Source organism: Homo sapiens, chromosome 14, assembly GCF_000001405.40.
Source record: "Homo sapiens chromosome 14, GRCh38.p14 Primary Assembly".
Taxonomy (NCBI): domain Eukaryota; kingdom Metazoa; phylum Chordata; class Mammalia; order Primates; family Hominidae; genus Homo; species Homo sapiens.
The window spans coordinates 65,202,599-65,222,563 of record NC_000014.9 but is presented as its reverse complement, the minus strand read 5'-3'; the positions used below and the strand labels follow the sequence as shown (position 1 = coordinate 65,222,563).

The window sequence follows — 19,965 nt, the reverse complement described above, 5'->3', positions numbered from 1 at the left end:
TCCTCCTGGACAGAAAGGCGCGTCGCCATCTCCTGGCCGGCACTATTACTGCACGTCCATTTTCTAGAAAATTCCTGGCATCTGGGTTCTATGTAAACGTAAGAACTTTTCCTTTACTGTGAGTTAGCAATCCGGATGTGTTTTGTGGAAGATTATGCCCTAAGCCCTTAGAAGGGAGGACACTGAGTTTGGGAAAAGTCACTACCTCTGGGCTTCATTTTTTGCCCTAAGGCAATGAGGTTATCCTGATGCTGAGGAATCTATGGCAAATTTTCCTTTCTCCCTCAAACTATCCTGTCAACCTTTTCATATTAGAAGGCAGAGAATGGAAAATACACATACACAGTAAGTACCTGCTACATATCTTTATAGAGCTGTCCTATGTATATTTGTTTTTTGGTTCCATGTTGATCTTTTCTTATTAATTATTTTTTGTAGATACAGGGTCACTATGTTGTCCAGGCTGGTCTCAAACTCCTGAGCTCAAGCAATCTTCCCGTCTCGGCCTCCCAAAGTGCTGGGATTACAGGCGTGAGCCACTGTGCCCAGCCTCCATCTTGATCTTTTAAGTTATTTAGACATTGCTCAAGATATAAGACTGATTTTTCTCTCTATTGATTGAAAAAGGCTTTACTGTTTTATTCATTTATTCCACAAAAGGATTTATTCAATCAACTCAAAAATTGTTATGCACCAGGCACTTTTGAAGTACTAGGGATACAGCAATAAGCAAAACAGACACAAGCCATTCCCTCATGGAGCTTCTTCCCTAGTGGAGGAGATAGGCAATAAATAAAATGTGCAGCGTGTTGGCTGAAAGAGGATGTGGGCCAAGAGAAGATTTTTTGTCTATCTGTTTTGTTTTTTAAGATAGGAGAAATTACAGCACATTTGTCTGCAGAGGGGAATGATCCAGGAAAGTGGGAGAAATGATGATGCACAAGAGAGGAGGGACCGGTGGAGAGATGCCTCGAGGAGGTGAGGGGAGGTGGCATCTAGTGCACAAGTGGAGTGGGTGATGCAAATATTTATCAAGCCCCTGGCAGGTGTCAGAACCAGGGCTATGTGCCGGAGATCCAGCAGTGAAGAAAATGGACAGTAGCCCTGCCTTCTTGTAGATTTCACCCTAATTAGGAAGATGGACAATAAAAAGCAAACTAGGCTGGGTGCAGTGACTCATGCCTATAATCTCGGCACTTTGGGAGGCCAAAGTGGGCAGATCGCTTGAGGCCAGGAGTTCAAGACCAGCCTGGCCAACATGGCGAAACCCCATCCCTACTAAAAATACAAAAATTAGCTGGGCATGGTGGTGTGTGCCTGTAATTCCAGCTACTTGGGAGGCTGAGGCCTGAGAATCACTTCAACCTGGGAGGCGGAGGTTGCAGTGAGCTGAGAATGCGCCACTGCCCTCCAGCCTGGGTGACAGAGCAAGACTCCATCTCAAACAAACAAACAAAAAAACAAACTAATAAATGAGGCATAGTACTCATGGCTTGGGGTATGTGCTATGACAGAAACACAATAGACATGGAAATCCTCTTCGAGAAGTGTCATTTAGACTGAGTTTTAAAGTATAACAAGGAGATGTCCATGTGCAGAGCCCGAGGAAAGAGGATTTCAAGCAGAAAGAATAACAAGTACAAGACCCTGGGCAGGAAGAGCTTGGCCCATTTGCGCACCTGATTGGAGGTGGGGCTGCTGGAGGGTAGTTAGCAAGGAGGGTGAAGCATGAGATGGGGTTACAGAGGTTGACCAGTAATAGATTTTAACAGTCAATAAATTTTATGAGCAAATTTGTAGATAACTCAAGGCTAGGAAGGACAGCTCGCACTGTTAAATGGCAAAATCAGAATTTAAAAAAAAAATTGCATTGATGGCATGTAACAAATCTCAATGTCAAATCTTGCATTTGGGCTCAAAAAACTCAGTTGCAAGAAAACAGTAAAAGGAAGATCAAATACACCACCAGTTGGTATGAAAAGTGTTCTGGGTTTTCCAGAAAGCAAAGCCTAAAACAGGCCTAAATTGCAAACTCTTTCCTGAGCAATGTGACTGAAGGAGCAGAAGTGAGAGAGTGGAGAGGCAAAGAGAAGAAAAAAGAACCAATACAGAGCTGTGGTGTTGAGGCAGCCTCGTCCGCAGGCTCCTGCTGGTCCAATCTCAGGGGCCCGTGGAGGAGCTCAAAAGGTGCCTCAGTGCCAACCAGAGAGCAAAGAGAGGGACTAGCATTTCTCCCTTGCTTCACACACCGCACACCAAAGGCTCTCTCCATGGGTGTCTCTCTCCCCCAAGTGTGAGTACGAAGCAGGCTACCGTGATGGTCCCACTTGCATTGTCACTCAGAGACTCAAAGGTAGAAAGCAAGGGAAGAGTGGGCCTGAGATGGTTCGTGGTCAACTGCACTTGTGGGAACTGGTAGGTGCCCCACAGAACTGGGCGCAGCTGGAATAAGAGACACGGAGACCCAAGCTCTGAAGTGATTCACGGTGGTGTCGCCTACATATAAGCTTAGGAATGACAATTTCCCTCTGCTTGGCATTTCATCTCGAAGTCTTTTTAGGCTTTCTGCGGAAACACGGGTGTGTAACTGAATCTCATTCTCAATGCTTGATATTTGGGCCTTAGAGGTAAAAAGGACCCCCAAAATACTATCCCAGAAGCCATAATAATTCCTTCTTTAAAATTTCTCAGGCCAGGCCCAGTGGCTCGCCCAGTGGTTCACCCAGTGGCTCACAGTATAATCCTAGCACTTCGGGAGGCTGAGGCAGGAGGATCACTTGAGCCCAGGAGTTGGAGAGCAGCCTGGGTAAGATAGTGAGACCTCATTTCTACAAAAAATTGAAGTTAGCTGAACGTGGTGGCACACTCCGGTAGTTTCAGCTACTCAGGAGTCTGAGGTGGTCGGATTGCTTGAGCCCGAAAGGTAAAGGTTGCAGTGAGCCAAGATCATTCCATTGCACTTCAGCCTGGGCAACAGAGCTAGACCCTGTCTCTAAATAAATAAATAAATAAATAAATAAATAAATAAATAAATAAAAATAAGGCCAGGCATAGTCACTCAGCCTGTAATCCCAGCACTTTGGGAGGCCAAGGGAGGTGGATCACTTGAGCTCAGGAATTTGAAACCAGCCTGGGCAACATGGTGAAACCCTGTCTCCACAAAAGATACAAAAACTAGCCAGGTGTGGTGGCACATGCCTGTGGTCCTAGCTACTTGGGAGGCTGAGGTGGGAGGACTGTTTGAGCCTGGGAGGCAGAGGTTGCAGTGAACTGAGATCGCACCACTGCCCTCCAGCCTGGGCGACAGAGCAAGACCCTGTCTCAAAAATGAAAAATAAAAAAAAAAAATAGAGCCAGAAGGAGGAAGGGGTGGTGGGAGCTGGGGTTGGGAGACAAAAATAAAAATAAATAAATACAATTTATCTAATTCAACAAAGGAATCTTTTTTAAATATTATCTAAGACTTCTGAATCTTTATCAAATGCTGCATTTGTATAAACTGTTTACTTCTGCTAAACTGGGGGCTATCGTGGTGGGAGAGAAATGAAGGGTTAGGGAAGCAATTCATCCCATTTATCCCAGGCCAGGTAAAGGCCTCAAATTTAAGATTTTGACTCATCTCCAAATGAAGTTATACGTAGAAGTCTCAGAGCCACAATAACAACAACATTGAAAGATGTTCTTCAAACAGCTCAAACTTGTGTCCTCATCCTCAGATCAAACTGCGTGTGGTCCCTTATAAATAAATATTTTCAAAAGTTCTATAATTGTCTTGCAAAATAACTCAGTGCCTTTGCTGTTCAAATGTATCAATTTATGAAATGTAAAGTTTCCAAAAATCACAATTTTTACAATTCTCTTTTGATAGTTCTCCTTTAAAAAAAAAAAATACAAGGAGCCTTGAGAAATGGACATGATCCGTGTATTTCTTGACCTCTGAGATACCATGGCTAATCCCAACCAACCTGCAGAAATACTGCTTCTGGAAGTTCCATTTGCCTCCATTCTGAGTGCTTATTAACCCTGAAACTTTTGTCAGCTCAGGAAAAAGCAAAAGGTAACTAGCTGGAGGGTAAGTGAGGAACGTTTGCTCCTTTTCCCAGCTCTGAAGGTGCTTGTAAATATCACTCAAGGTGCCCCGGTATTGCACTGGAGAGTGGCTTATTTTTCATCTCACAGTATCACAAAAGGTTAGGTGTCCCTTTGTGAAACTGTTGCTGTGTGGAGCCAGCACTATTAGATATGCCTTTGTTGAATCCCCAAAGAATTGTCTTTGGTCTGAGTTTCTTCAACCTATTTATTCTCTCTCTCTTTTTTTTTTTTTTTTTTTTTTTGAGATAGAGTCTTGCTCTGTTACCTAGGCTGGAGTGCAGTGGTGCAATCTCAGCTCACTGCAACCTCTGCCTCCTGGGTTCAAGTGATTCTCCTGCCTCAGCCTCCTGAGTAGCTGGGATTACAGGTGCCCGCCATCACATCTGGCTAATTTTTGTATTTTTAGTAGAGACGGGGTTTCACCATGCTGGCCAGGTTGGTCTTGAACTCCTGACTTCAGGTGATCTACCCGCCTCAGCCTCCCAAAGTGCTGGGATTACAGGCCTGAGGCACTGTGCCCAGCCAACCTATTTATTCTGTAGGGTACTTCAAGTCCAAGGCTCAAAGCTGTTTTCTCTCCTCATTAAATCCCTGCTGGTTCTCCAATGGTGACTTTAGGGGAGGCCCCATTATAAGTGGAGGCCCCATAAAGGTCAGAAATAATTTACCTCTGCCCTGCAGGTTCTAAACTAACTGGCTGCGCAGTGGAACACCCTTGTTCACCTCCTCACTGGGCTCCTGGGCCTCCAACTCCTGCCCTTCAGGTTCTAGGTAAGGGCTACACATGTAATTCAAAGAGGATCTCATGGGCTTGAGGAGATAATCACCCTGTGTTTAGAGCAATTTCCATGACATCTGGGCCAAAATGCCTTTCCATGAAGTCCCCTAAATGGGGACTTAGGGCCGTGCCTCACTCTTATCATTCCTAATATGACTGGCTGTCCTTGGCCTGTGTATGCCTGTCCGTGCATGATGTTTAAGATGGTATATTCTGGATGTAGGCATTCCTCATTCTGTTGTCATCTCTCCTGATGGGCCGAGCCTCTCTCTAATCATCCTGAGATATATCTCTTGCTAATTTCCCTTCCTAAGCCTAACCCTGTGGGTTACAGATCAAAACAGGGGCAGTGGGAGGTACAGAAATGATTCCAATAATCTGCTTCCCAGATAGGCAATTGTTGAAAACCAAGGAAACAAAAAGGGATTTGGGGGGGCCCCCACCCCTGAAGGAAAGCCACAAGAAGATCAAGAAGGGGTGTCATCCTCCCTCCTCCCACACAGACTCCAATTAGTCTCAGCTGTCATGTTTCACTGGTACTCTGATCACTTAAGTGGAAACTTATTAAGACTTATTGGCATTAGGGTGGCCACCTCTTTGGGAACAGCCTGAAGAGGCTGGAAATTGATCAAAGTCTGGACCTGAAGCAGTGGAAGCTGCTTCCCTTTTGTCATCCACTGATGCCCAGCCTACCCACTGGCACCGTCCTGGGAGGTTCACAGAGTCGGGGCAGGACCCCACAGGGTGCCTGGGTTCCAGGAGGTTGTGGGATCAGTTCCATAGGTTCATTATAAAATGACTCTGACTGCAGTGCAGACAATGATCTTGATGGGAAAACACTTGGAGGGTGGATTGGGAGAGAGAGCACAAACGCTTCAGTCTTGGCAGAGAACCAGTTTGCAGTCTCAATAAGGTTCGATTCATCTAAGGTCTATGGAGCATGTGCTCTGCCCAGTTCTTGCTTTTGAGAGACAAACACATTGGGAAGACACAGCCCTGCCCTGAAAGAGACTCAACAGGACAGGAGTCGGTCCTCTGACTTCCCACCCGAGGAGAGCCGATAGGTTCAGTGGGGGAAGGAGGGTGGTGACCGGAGCTGTAGGGGAAGTCTTCCTGAGGAGGGGGCTCACGTGGGCTCCAAGAGGGAGGAGGACAGGGAGAACATGCTGGGGCTGAGAAGGTAAAGAGAGAACTTCATGGAAGTTATTTCCTTTAGGGGAAAGCAAGCTCATACCTTGAATATTGTTCCCTATGTGATCTCCCTTAGGATGGAGAGAGAATCTCTTTTTGCCCCTTTTCCCCCCAGATAGTCTGAGGAATAAGAGCTCGCGAGAACCTGGTGGTAATCTGAATGCCATTACTACCAGCACTCATAATAATAATGATGGCAGTGACAGTCACTGATGGAACGTTTTCTATGCATGAGACACTGTGCTTAAGTGCTTTACAAACATTAACTTTATTTAATCTTTACAATTACTTTTCCAAATAGGTTCTATTATTAAGTACTACTACTATTAGTAATACTATATTATTAACTAATACTATTATAGCACTGATATTATTAAATACCATTATTATTACTATCATTATTAGGTACTACTGATATCCCTACTTTATACATGAGGAGATTAAGACTCACAGAGGCAGGCAGGAGGATCACTTGAACCCAGGAGTTTGAAACCAGCCTAGGCAACATAGAGAGACACTACCTCTACAAAAAAAATAAAAATTAGCTGAGCATGGTGGTGTGCACCTGTAGTCCCAGCTACTTAGGAGGCTGAGGCAGGAGGATCCCTTGAGCCCAGGAGTTGGAGGCGGCAGCAGTGAGCTGAGATCTTGCCACTGCACTCCAGCCTGGGCGACAGAGTGAGACCCTGTCTTTAAAAAAAAAACAAAAACAAAAAAAACGAGAGGCCAGGCGCAGTGGCTCACACCTGTAATCCGAGCATTTTGGGAGGCCAAGGTGGGCGGATCACCTGAGGTCAGGAGTTTGAGACCAGCCTGGCCAACATGGTGAAACCCCATCTCTACTAAAAATACAAAAAAATTAGCCGGGTGTGGTGGCACATGCCTGTAGTCCCAGCTACGCGGGAGGCTGAGGCAGGAGAATGTCTTGAATCCAGGAGGCAGAGGCTGCAGTGAGCTGAGATCACACCACTGCACTCCAGCCTAAGCAACAGAACAAGACTCCATCTCAAAAAAACAAACAAACAAACAACAACAACAACAACAAGAGAGGGACTCACGGATGTTAAGTTACTTGCCCATGTGGATAATATCGGTGGAGCCCAGGCTTAAACCCACACATTGAGTCCAGAGCTCTGAAATTTAACCACACACATATTACCTCTTAGTACTTAAGTGTTTCTGTGCCCAATCAGACACTGGATGCTACACTTTTAGGAGATGGATTTACTCATCCAACTCCCCTCTACTCTTCTTGAATTAGGGAAGCCTAGTTCAGGTCTCACGTCATAATCTCATTCAAATGGGAACATCTTGCCTCTCCAACAAGACTGCAGATAACCCCAGGGAAGGACATGCCTTATTTCTGGAAGCAAGAGAAATACCAGTGAATTGGCTTGAATGAGTCCTCCTCCTCTCCCCCTGCAGGTCCTTCCACTTGGCACAGAGGCAGGCCTGCAGTATGTCCTCTGGAAGGCCCTGCTCAGTTGTCTTGGCTGTCTGCCCTTTGCATACACCCCTTCCTCCTTGCTCTCTGTCAATATCCTCATTCTGCTTTTTCTCACCTGACAAAGATAAATCTTGCAGCTCTCCACCACCTGCCTGATGGGGCTGTCTAGCTCTTTGCTGTCCAGAGAGGTCACTGGAGGCTATTCCCAGAGAACTCCTGGCCCTGTCCTAGGTCCCTCGCCTGGGTGGAGGAGTGGCCTCCCCTGGTGTGCTGCCTTAGAATGTCACTGTGCAATGTAAAGGGATGGACCGAGCCCCGGGATGGACCAAGCCCCAGCATGGGGCAGCATCTACTGCCCCAACCCTCTCAGTGCTTTCCCATAAGCTGCCATCTCAGAGGAAGAATCAATCCACTCTGTAATCATGCTCTTGGCGGGGGTCTGGGGGACTGATTGATGGGTCTAGTTGTTTTATTATAAGCCAGTGTAAGTTAAGTAAGTCAAATCAATAAACTTTATAGGTCTCCCCAGATTGCTCCAGAGGCGAGACCCAGTGGCTTTCACAATAGATTAGACCCCTGCCTAAATAAAAACCAATAGTCGCCTGGAGAAACAGTTTGATTTCCTTTTGAGAGACTCTCTTAGTGCCCTTGAGCCTGTCATGACTTAAATCAATAACTTTAACCACTTCCAAGAAGAAATCAGTTGCCTTTGGAATATCTTCATGCCACTTCCCGATCTCCCTGGCACATGACAATTTTAGATGCCTGGAGTGAACCAGTCAAGGCAGTCAGGACAGTGCTATCCTGTCCCTAGGCCCCAGGCATGGCCCCCAGCCTAGGCAGTCCAGACCTTTCCTCTCCTGCAAGTATTCTCTTCATCTTGCCCAAATGTCCCAAATCTCCCCTTATCTGAGACTCCCCACTAGCCCACCCCTGCTGTGCACCCCTGGCCTCCATGGCCCCTGAATGACCAGGCTGGCTAACGAGGAGCTGGTCTTCCTTGTCATTTTGAGGGTGAATGTAGCAGTTCCTCCAGGTGGCACTTTTGTCCATTTACATGAGTATCTAGGAAGCAGAATAACCTGTGGTAGTAGCTGTAAACTAAAAATAAGATTCTTTTTTTTTTTAGATGGAATCTCGCTCTTGTCTCCCAGGCTGGAGTACAATGGCGTGACCTTGGCTCACTGCAACCTCCACCTCCTGGGTTCGAGTGATTCTCCTGCCTCAGCCTCCTGAGTAGCTGGGATTACAGGCGCCCACCACCATGCTCGGCTAATTTTTGTGTTTTTAGTAGAGATAGGGTTTCACCATGTTGGCCAGGCTGGTCTTGAACTCCTGACCTCAGGTGATCTGCCCACATCAGCCTCCTTAAAAATAAAATTCTAAGGCCCCCAACCATCTGAATGGACCCCTCCTCTCAGCCAAGGGCATTCCAAAGTTAACCTGGAAAATTAGTTCAGGCCACAGTGGGAACAGGAGTTGTACATGCCCCATTATACCCTCCTCCCTGTGGAATTCAGGCACAACTGACCAGCATTAACATCAAAAAAGAGATCTTAAGACTGTGGCAATAAGACACCAAATTCCAGCCTGACTCTAATATAGCATCACATGACAACAGGCCCTGAAGAAATCAAAATACTCTATTCTTTTACTCACATATTTTGAAATGGCCCTGCAAAACTGTCTCTTGTGGGGGAAATCTACATTCAGTAGAGAATCCCTTTCCCTTTCCACATCTTTTCCCTGATCCAGGAGAGAATTAACTAAGAGTCTGGCACCTTTTAAGTCTGATAAGAAACATTTACTATCTACTCTTTCTGAAGCCTGCTACCTGGAGGCTTCATCTGCATAATAAGAACCTTGGTCTCCATAACCCCTTATCTTAACTCAGATAGTCCCTTCTATGGATTCCATACTTTTAGATAAACTCTTTTAATCAATTGCCCTGGGAAAATCTTTGAATGCACCTGTGACCTGAAAGTTCTCCTCCCCACACCTCTTCGAGCTGTCCTGCCTTTCCAGACCTGACCAATGTACATCTTAGATATTAATTGATGTCTTATTTCTCCCTAACATATATAAAACCAAGCTGTAGCCTGACCACCTTGGGCACATGTCGTCAGGACCTCCTGAGGCATGTCCTTATTCTCGGCAAAATAAACTTCTAAATTGATTGAGACTCAGACACATTTTGGTTTACACAGCAATAGTAGTATTGATAATACCTCAATGGAGTGACTGCAATGATGAGAATTTCAGGCCTTGCTGGGGTGGGGTGTGTCTATCCTGGGCCACTTTTAAGTTATTTCTCAGAGAAAGTCACCATCCCTGCCCACCTAGGGCTGGCCATAAGAGAGGCCAGCCTTACCATGTCTGCCAGGGCTAGTTTAGTGGTCATCCTCACTGCCTGAGCTCTGCCCTGCACTCTCCCATTCTTCAAGGGTTATCTTTGATGGAGCCAGCAGTAAAATGGTCTGTCTAGGGGCCAGGAGCCATCAGGAGAACAAAGTCATCTCCAACACTCTGCCCAATGTTAGAGCACTGTGCCAGTATAAGCTCCCAAGTCACCCATCTGGGGTGGTGGCTAAAGGCCCCCACAATATTTTTATTCTCTAGAATGGGAATAAGACCCACCACTCTTTGGCCATGGAATCAAACGTTTAAATACCAGAAGTTCCATGGTTGCTCCAGAGCCCATTCTGTGCTGCCAAGATGGACTCTCAAATCAAGCGACTGAGTGGTCAGGATTAGATTGTCTCAAAACTATTTCTATGTTGGATAAAGTTTTAAATAGAATGTTGTGGGCCGGGTGTGGTGGCTCACGCCTGTAATCCCAGCACTTTGGGAGGCTGAGGCAGGCAAATCACAAGGTCAGGAGTTTGAGACCAGCCTGGCTAACATGGTGAAACTCCGTCTCTACTAAAAATACAAAAAATTAGCTGGGTGTGGTGGCAGGTGCCTGTAATCCCAGCTACTTGGGAGGCTGAGGCAGGAGAATCGCTTGAACCTGGGAGGCAGAGGTTGTATGAGCTGAGATCATGCCACTGCTCTCCAGCCCAGGCGACAGGCAAGACTCCATTTAAAAAAAAAAAAAAAGGAAAGGAAAGGAAAAAAAAAAAGAATGTTGTGGGATAACCCTTTCCACATATGATCCCTGCACTAGAGAGACTCAGGAGTTCCTGCTGCTTGGCTTAGTCCAGCCCAGAGGCTGTCTGTCCACCACAAAAGGCTGGGGCAGACCCTAGAGCAGTGACATACCAGGGACAGTGTGGGTAGATCATTTTTAACATCCCCTCCTCTATGTGACAACATTCAGCAGTAATGATGCGATTAAACAAATAATACAATAGGCCCTCCTTATCCATAGGGGATATGTTCTAAGACCCCCCCCCCCCAGTGGATACCTGAAACCGAAGATAGTACTGAACCCTATATACACTGTTTTTTCCTTTGCATACACACTGTATAGTTTGGATACGCTGGAAGAGGGGATGATTCATATCCCAGCTGGGAGGGACAAAGTGAAACAGTGCAAGATTTCATCATGCTTCTCAGAACAGTGCACAATTTAAAACCTATAAATTGTTTACTTCTGGAATTTTCCACTTAATATTTTCAGACCACAGTTGACTACAGGTAACCTAAACTGCAGAAAGCAAAACCACAGAGAAGGGAAGACTGCTGGAGTAATGGCCAGAAAAGGAACACAGGCAAAAAAAACTTTCCTTTTATTGAGCTTTAGATATAACCATGATAGCAAAAATAAGTAAATAAATGTTAAAATGTAAAAAAAAGAAAAAAGTAATGGATTGATACATTTTCATTACACCAGTACTTTTAAAAACTGGAATATACATACATATTTGTCTGTGACAGCAATGAACAATATTGCAGTTTCTGAGACTTAACCTCTACAAATTTATTGAAGATTTTGTCAAAATTGATCTTCACATACTCATGTTCAATTGGCAGTTTGTTGATGTCTCTTCCATCATAGTTAATTGTTAATTTTAATTCAGAAAAAAAATCTCTTTTACATGAGTCAGCAGATATACAAATAGGAAGTTTTAAACAAGAGTAGGTCTGTCAGAGACTCAAAAATTCCATTTTGCAATTAATTTCAGAAGTTGTAAGACTGTCCATGTAAATGTTTCTTTGGGGTCAATTATGACTACTTTCAAATATCTCCACAGTCAAAAAACTTCTACTAGAATATCTTCACCAGAAAATTCACCACACATTTCTATTGTCATTGATAAACTTCTGAAATTTTTCTTCTGGAAGAATCAGAAAATGGCTATGTGGCAGTAAATATTGGTATTATTTGATCTGTTGCTTTAGAACAAGCATCCAGTTCTTGAAAACAATCAAAGCATTTAAACTTGCCTTTTGAGTTCCTCTGGCCATGGTCATGCGGAAGAACAGAATAGAAACTAAGATCCTGTTTCTTCATGTTACAATTATGCCTAGCATGGTTTATTTTCAATCTATTGTTTAAGCATAGGAATATATGGTTCTGTTACCAAAACACCAGGGGTTCGGTCTAGGTCTTGCTGCTTGACGCACAGATAGGCAATCACTGAGACGATGATAGGTGAGCATTGCCAAGGAAGACTTTAATTGGGTGCTGCAGCTGGGGAGATGGGAGCTCAGTCTCAGATCCATTTCCTTGACTGACCAAAACCCAGGGGTTTATATAGCAGGGAAGAAATGAAACAATGTGTAAGAAAACAGGAACTAGGGAGGGGCAAGGGAAGCAGTGATGATGAATGAGGGGTCCTGGCATCTCACTGTCTGGATGTGGTGATCTGGGGAGTTTCAGTTCTTTGAGGTTTTTGAGGTTTTTTTTTTTTTGAGAGGCCTGAAGGTCATTTCCTGAGGAAAGAACCCAGGAAGAACAAATGTAAGTTTCAATCCAGAAGGGTCAATTTCTACATGTATCCAAAAAACTATCAATGGGACTACTGGGGCAGTTTCAGTTCCACAGGGTTTAGAACCCAGAGATTCCAAATTATTAGGTACTTACTCTGGAAACAAATTGTGGGTGAATCCACTTGAGTCAAGGATTAATTTTTCAAATTAATGTCTTATATAGAATATAATGATCATTAATAGATGTTATTTAAATGCATTAATTTAAAGCCTCCATTGTTAAAACTCAACAGCAGCCATAACAATTATTTAGAACTTAGGGAACAAGATTTTTTTCAAGGAGGAATATTTTTATTACTGTAACTGTTTAGAATTGCCAGCATGTGGTGAAAATAAAAAGCAGACTGGATTTTAGTTTGTTTTAAAATTCGCTACAGACAATGCATCCCTTATAGCCTGCACCTGGGATGGATGGATCCCGCTGGCTGCCCCATCCCTGGTACCCCAGTGCCTCAAATGAGGAGCAGGGGCAACTGTCATCCAAAACCTTTGGAAGAGGGCCTTTGTGACAACTCACAAAGTCAAGGCCTGCATCCAGGTTGCGGATCTGTTTTGTTTGGTCTACAATGTTAAAAAAATTTTAAATTAAAAACTTAAAACAAACCTTTGAGGTCTTCTGGCAGGGTGTGTATTTACAGTTTTTCACAGTCCCCATCACTCCTTATTTATCATACCTTGTCCAATTTGCCCACTTAAATTATCTGACTGGCTTATGTAGGTATCTGGGTTTGTGACCCTACTTTGTGACTGTTTCTACAGTTGTCCTTTTTCCAGTTCTTTAGCTTTTTAGGGTTTGCCCTCTTCCCCTCATTGGCCGCAGCTCACCAGTCTCCTCCTGGCCCCTCAGCTTCACCACTTCAGAGACCCTTTCCCCCTTGTTTAACCTGGTAGTTGCTCTTACTTTATATCTAATTCCATTACTGCCACTCTGCTTCAGGAAGGAGGCACTCAGGCAGCCACTAAGCGATCCTTCTGTTTTTTTGTTTGTTTGTTTTGTTTGTTTGTTTTTGAGATGGAGTCTCCCTCTGTCACCCAGGCTGGAGTGCAGTGGCACAATCTTGGCTCACTGCAACCTCCACCTCCCGGGTTCAAGTGATTCTCGTGCCTCAGCCTCCTGAGTAGCTGGGATTACAGGTGCATATCACCACGTCCAGATAATTTTTGTATTTTTAGTAGAGACGCGGTTTCACCATGTTGGCCAAGCTGGTCTCAAACCCCTGACCTCAAGTGATCTGCCTGCCTCGGCCCCCCACAGTGCTGGGATTACAGGCGTGAGCCACCACGCCCGGCCTAACGGATCCTTCTTGAACCTGAGTTGGGCAACTGCCCCCCTTCCAATGGGAACTCTGGTCCTCAGCTTCTTCTGTGACGCTCAGGGAGGCCAGCAAGGAAGCCACCCTTCCCAGAGTCCAGCAAGGGGCTCACTCCCGTGGTTGGTGGTAGGGAAGTGAAACTGCCTTTCCAAAATTATGACTGAGACAGTGAGAAAGATCTAACTTATCTGTCTCCATCTTGCTTCTAACCTCCAAACTGTCCTTGTTCATTCCTGGGCGTAGGCTGAACTAACTGGGAGAAATGTAGTTTATAGTTTAAAACAAAGATGACGGTAACAGCCCTTTCCCAAAGCAGACCTCCTTTTTGCCTAGGGACTAGATTGCCTTTGTAGGACTAACAGCCACAAGACTAGAAATTATGGTTGTAGGAGTCATGCTGCTGGAGGCTACAAGATTCTGACCCTCACTAAACTGCTCCTAAGATTAGTGTTTGAGCTATTTTGTAGACTCTGCACTTGATGGATCAGTTGGCACCACCCAGACTGATAAACTGAATCATGTGATCTTGTGGCTCCTACCCAGGAACTAACTCGGTGCAGACAGCTTCAACCCCCTATGATTTCATCCCTGACCAACCTGCACTCCCAGCTCACCGGCTCCCCACCCCCAACCCACCAAGTTGTTCTTTTTTTTTTTTTTTTTTTTTTTTTGAGACGGAGTCTCCCTCTGTCACCCAGGCTGGAGTGCAGTGGGGCGATCTCGGCTAACTGCAAACTCTGCCCCCGCAGGTTCAAGTGATTCTCCTGCCTCAGCCTCCTGAGTAGCTGGGATTACAGGCGCACGCCACCATGCCCAGCTAATTTTTGTATTTTTAGTAGAGATGGAGTTTCACTATGTTGGTCAGGCTGGTCTCCGACTCCTGAGCTCATGATCTGCCTGCCTCAGCCTCCCAAAGTGCTGGGATTACAGCCATGAGCCACTGTGCCCAGCCCCAACCCACCAAGTTGTTCTTAAAAATTCTGCTTCTTGGGTGTGGTGGCTCATGCCTGTAATCCCAGCACTTTGGGAGGCCGAGGTGGGCGGATCACGAGGTCAGGAGATGGAGACCATGCTGGCCAACATGGTGAAACCCCGTCTCTACTAAAATACAAAAAAAAAAAAAAATAGCTGGGTGTGGTGGTGCGCACCTGTAGTCTTAGCTACTCAGGAGGCTGAGGCAGGGGAATTGCTTAAACCTGGGAGGCAGAGATTGCAGTGAGCCGAGGACGCTCCACTGCATTCCAGCCTGGCGACAGAGCAAGACTCCGTCTAAAAAAAAAAACAAAACAAAAAACAAACATCAACTCTGCTCCCCGAATGCTTGGGGAGACTGATTTGAGTAATAAAACTCAGGTCTCCCACACAGCCAGCTCTGAGCGAATTACTCTTTCTCCATTGCAATTCCCCTGTCTTGATAAATCGGCTCTGTCTAGGCAGCGGGCAAGGTGAACCCCTTGGGTGGTTACAGAAGCAGAAGGGGAGAAACAATTTCCAAGCCCTGAACACACATGCAGAGTCGCACCCACAGTTGGCTTAATTTAACATGACACAAAAAACGTTCCTGGCTAAACCGCTGCATATTAATTTGGACAATTACTTTCAGCCAGTGGCGTGCTAGGGCCAGCTTATACTGGCTCCAGAGAGGCAATTGTTAAACACTCAGAATTTTAACAGCAGGTTGGTGTCTTGAAATCGGCCACTGTTGGAAGTATTTACACCAAGGAAATTGGCAAATGTTATGAACTAGGGCATTTGGGGTGGGAGAAAAGAGCCACTTTACCAGCATACTCCTGCCTTTAGCCCAACTCAGCATTTCCTCCACCCACAAACTCTCAGTTTTGTTTGGTCTATTTCCCTCACTTACGCTTTAGTAGAGGCCGTATAGTGCAGTTAAGAGGAGGGGCTATAGGGCCATACTATCCTTGTGCAAGTCTATACACTAGCAATGGGACCCTGAGCACACTGCTTAATATCTCTATGATTCCTTGTTCCCATCCCTATGACTAGAGCTGTTCATTGCACCTTCTCATAGGATTTTCATGGGGTTAAATGAGTTAATACATTCAAAGGACCTAGAGCAGTGCCTGGAGAAAAAGGAGCTCCACAAGTATTAGCTATCATCATTCTAAAACTGAAATTTCAGTTAGTTCTCTTATTTTACTTTTGTGGTTAGAAGATGCAAATATCTACTCACCAGTTTAAACCCTGCACTGCTTGCTGAATATAAATATCCCCAATGCCTCACTTTTGGGTGAGTAATACCAGGTCAACTCACGCCTTCTTCCTCTCAAAAAAAAAAAAAAAGGAATAGCAGTGATACATGGTAAAAAGCCTACTCATACTATGATTCCAAAATGTGGGTATTGGTTTTGCATCTCATTTCCAGAATTAGAAAAAGTCTCCTCTGTATTTAGTTTTTATAAGTTCTCCTTTTTTTTTTTCCCATTTCAGTTTTAAGATGCGCTGTATTTTTCTTATTTTCAGGGTCCCGAAATCAGGATGGGTGTTTCAGTTGATGCATGCGTTTGATGTGGTTGTGTTTCTTTTCCTCCGCCTAAAAGCAGTTATTAAAATGATGGCGTTTGCAGATCTAGATTTGAAAGAAAAGAATAATGGTGCATCTTGCAATCAATAGTGTTTTAGAATCCAGGAAACACAGTAATAATACTCAACGAAAAAGTCAGTTCTAGGATGCCAGCTTCCGCATCCAGTGTCTTGTCCCCAGGAGCACGATGTTCCAAGGGTGGGGCTGTGTCCTGTTGTGCCTGCTGCAGCCATGCTTTCTTTCCTTTAGGATCAGTGTTGGTGGGGGCTTGGCCCAGGATTGGATGGTATCTTGTTTTGTTTTTTTGAGATAGAGTTTCACTCTCTCGCCCGGGCTGGAGTGCAGTGATCGCAGCCCACTACAGCCTCGAATTCCTGGGCTCAAGTGCCCTCCTGCCATGGCCTCCCAGTTCTGGGACTACAGGCATTAGCCCCTGTACCCAGCCATGGATGTTTTTTAAGTGTGCAAAGATTCCTCCTCATTCTTCAATTAAAAGCATAGTGAACCATCTGCTGGGCTGGGATTGGACTATGAGAGAGAAAAGCACTAAGACAAGCTGAAAACACAGGTGAAAGTAGCAAGCAGGCTCCCAAATAAAGAGCAGGCCCAGCTCTGCCAGTCAGCACGCGCACACACACACACACACACACACACACACACACACACGTTATGTTTTTGAGTCACGCCCCTTCCTTGTTCCACATGATTGGTCTACACTTCACACTTCCCCTATAATCTCAGTTTCTTTCACCTGGTTTCTTGCCCAAACAGCTTGTTGGGTTTAAGAAGGAGAAATCTATAAAAGAATTGAAGTCTCTTCAGGGAAGGGCCTAGCAGAGCAATTCTGGCTGTGGCAACTCCCCTGGGGTGGCTCCTCCCTAGCCATCTCCTGAGCACACAAGCAAGGACCCTTTCCTCTCAGCTGTCACTCTGGACATGTGTAATGATCCCAATACAGGAGACTCTGAGCCGCAGCCCCTAGGCCCACCTTACGTGTGAGAACTCTCCTGTGTGAGGCCGAGGCAAAGCTGCACGGGATCCTGAGAGAGCAGCAGCCAGAGCAGAAGCTGCAGGAGAGACTGGCACATGGAAGCCAGCCTGTCTCCACAGCCCATGTTCTTGTTTTGTTCTAACTCTACGTGCTTTGGTCGGTTTCCCCTACAACACAGCAGCAGCAGGTGGGCGCACAATGCAGGGACCGGCCCACCCTGACATGGCTGTGTTTGGCAGCCCTGCACACCCCCTTTTCTTTTTTTGCAGGAGTCAGGAGACTGGGGTGGAAGAGGTGGAGACCCAGTCATATCAGGCAAGGGAGGTCTGCACTGCGCTGCAGCCAGAAGGCTAACAGATCACATCCCCACTGTCCCTTCCCAGCTCTGCTCTCCTGCTCTGTGGAGCAGGCCTGGCTGGATACCCCACATGCTACTGCTCTGCATCCACCCCACCCCCACATTCACACTGAAGCCACAGTCCCCAGGCTTACTCCCAGCCAGTGCTGAGCAGGGGTGCAGGGGGTGGGCACTAAGCAGGCCATTTCTGCAAGATCCAGGACTCCTCCAAAGGGCAGCTTTGGCCCAGAGACTCCTCCTCCACCCAGCTGAACCTTTCTCAGAGCCGGGCTGCAGCCTAAGTCTCCCTACCTGTGCAGTAAAGAATTGAACCTTGCCCCTCAAAGAGGTCTAGTCTTTACCCTTGGCCCCCGGGAGGTCATCTTTGTTTGCCTGGGGGTCTTAGGCTGGCCAGATAGTAACAGTGTGACTTAGGGTGGGGAGTAGCCACACCAGAAAAGCCAACATTATGATTTGCATGGGGCTTGGGGTCACCAAGGTACCAACCAGGGCTCGAGTAAGCTTCCCTGCAGGGCACCCTTCAGATCCCCATCTCCTCACAGATACCTTGTTTATAAACCTCCACTAGCAGGATTCTGGAATTAAACACAGTAGCAGTTGATTGGCCCTTTGCAAATGAATTGAAATGGACCAATAAAAATGGAGAAATACACATACTCAGCAAATTATAGTAACATAGGCTTCATCCATCTACAAGTAAGAGAAAATGGCTGGGCACAGTGGCTCACACCTGTAATCCCAGCACTTTGGGAGGTCGACGCAGGTGGATCACATGAGGTCAGGAGTTCGAGACCAGCCTGGCTAACATGGTGAAACCCTATCTCTTAAAAATACAAAAAATTGGCCAGGCGTGGTGGCGCATGCCTGTAGTCCCAGTTACTTGGGAGGCTGAGGCAGGAGAATCACCTGAACCGGGGAGACAGAGATTGCAGTTAGCCGAGGTCGTGTTACTGCACTCCAGCCTGGGCAACAGAACAAGACTCCGTCTTGAAAAAACAGAAAAGAAAAAGAAAATGCAGCACGGATAGGTTACACAAGAAACAGAAATGAGCCAGAAAAACACTCCCAGTCCTTGCCAAGTTGGCAGTAAGCAGGGTGGCCGGCTCCCTCTCCCAAATCCATGCTGGAGAGACCATAGAGGGAAACAGGGATTCCAGGAACCAACAACCACAGCAGTAGCAACAAAACGTGTGAACCCCCTGGGGAGATGTCTCAGACCAGGATCTGGCCTTGGACACTTTCATATATGCACATGATACCAGAGTGAGCAGCCAGTGGCTTAGGGATGAGATGCTCTAAGTGGGGCATTGTCACTCCCTCAGAAGACAAATAGCAAACCCCATGAGCCATAAGTGTATCCAAAGCAGGACTGAACAGACAGACCAAGAATGTAAGACAAGCCCCATACGTATAATTAAGGCGCTAAGACAAAACAGAGTAAGTAGAAATATTGTGTCCAGAATTTATTACTTCCGGTGGGTTCTTGGTCTCACTGACTTCAAGAATGAAGCCACAGACCCTCGCGGTGATTATTATAGTTCTTAAAGATGGTGTGTCCGGAGTTTTTTCCTTCAGATGTTCAGATGTGTCCAGAATTTCTTCCTTCCGGTGGGTTTATGGTCTCGCTGACTTCAGGAGTGAAGCTGCAGACCTTCGCAGTGAGTGTTACAGCTCTTAAAGGCAGCGTGTCAGGAGTTGTTTGTTCCTCCCTCCCAGTGGGTTCATGGTCTTGTTGACTTCAGGAGTGAAGCCGCAGACCTCCGCAGTGAGTGTTACAGCTCATAAAAGTAGTGCGGACCCAAAGAATGAGAAGCAAAAAGATTTATTGTGAAGAGCGAAAGAACAAAGCTTCTACAGCATGGAAGGACACCTGAGCTGGTTGCCGCTGCTGGCTGGGGTGGCCAGCTTTTATTCCCTTATTTGGCCCCGCCCACATCCTGCTGATTGTTTTACCAAGTGCTGATTGGTCCATTTTACAGAGTGCTGATTGGTCCATTTTTACAGAGCGCTGATTGGTGCATTTACAATCCTTTAGCTAGACACAGAGTGCTCATTGGTGCATTTACAATCCTTTAGCCATACAGAAAAGTTCTCCAAGTTCCCACTTGACCCAGGAAGTCCAGCTAGCTTCACCTCTCAATATTAGGCACAAGAAAAGTAAAAACAGTCAGTGTGTAGCTCAAGTCTATAATCCCAGCAATTTGGGAGGCTGAGGCGGCAGGATTGCTTGGGCCCAGGGGTTTGAGACCAGCTTGGGCAACATGGCAAAACCCTGTCTCTACAAAAAATACAAAAATTAGCCAGGACTGGTGGTG

At 45.9% G+C, this 19,965-nt stretch overlaps 1 long non-coding RNA gene across 1 annotated transcript, besides 3 other annotated features; it reads left to right on the top strand.

The window, feature by feature from the left end:
- Positions 1 to 216: 216 nt before the first annotated feature.
- Positions 217 to 9,671, top strand: LINC02324 (long intergenic non-protein coding RNA 2324). The gene is made up of 4 exons (NR_103769.1): positions 217 to 345; positions 3,869 to 4,057; positions 4,774 to 4,863; positions 8,638 to 9,671. It is a non-coding gene; the product is annotated as a long intergenic non-protein coding RNA 2324 (long non-coding RNA).
- Positions 8,776 to 9,326: an enhancer, noted in NCBI's record as "OCT4-NANOG-H3K27ac hESC enhancer chr14:65679956-65680506 (GRCh37/hg19 assembly coordinates)". NCBI's record gives its function as "activates a minimal SCP1, AML or CMV promoter by ChIP-STARR-seq in naive H9 embryonic stem cells {active_cell/tissue: H9 hESC(naive)}" and the evidence as "EXISTENCE:reporter gene assay evidence [ECO:0000049][PMID:30033119]".
- Positions 14,070 to 14,159: an enhancer, noted in NCBI's record as "active region_8549". NCBI's record gives its function as "activates an Ori minimal core promoter by ATAC-STARR-seq in GM12878 lymphoblastoid cells {active_cell/tissue: GM12878}" and the evidence as "EXISTENCE:reporter gene assay evidence [ECO:0000049][PMID:35858748]".
- Positions 17,423 to 17,532: an enhancer, noted in NCBI's record as "active region_8548". NCBI's record gives its function as "activates an Ori minimal core promoter by ATAC-STARR-seq in GM12878 lymphoblastoid cells {active_cell/tissue: GM12878}" and the evidence as "EXISTENCE:reporter gene assay evidence [ECO:0000049][PMID:35858748]".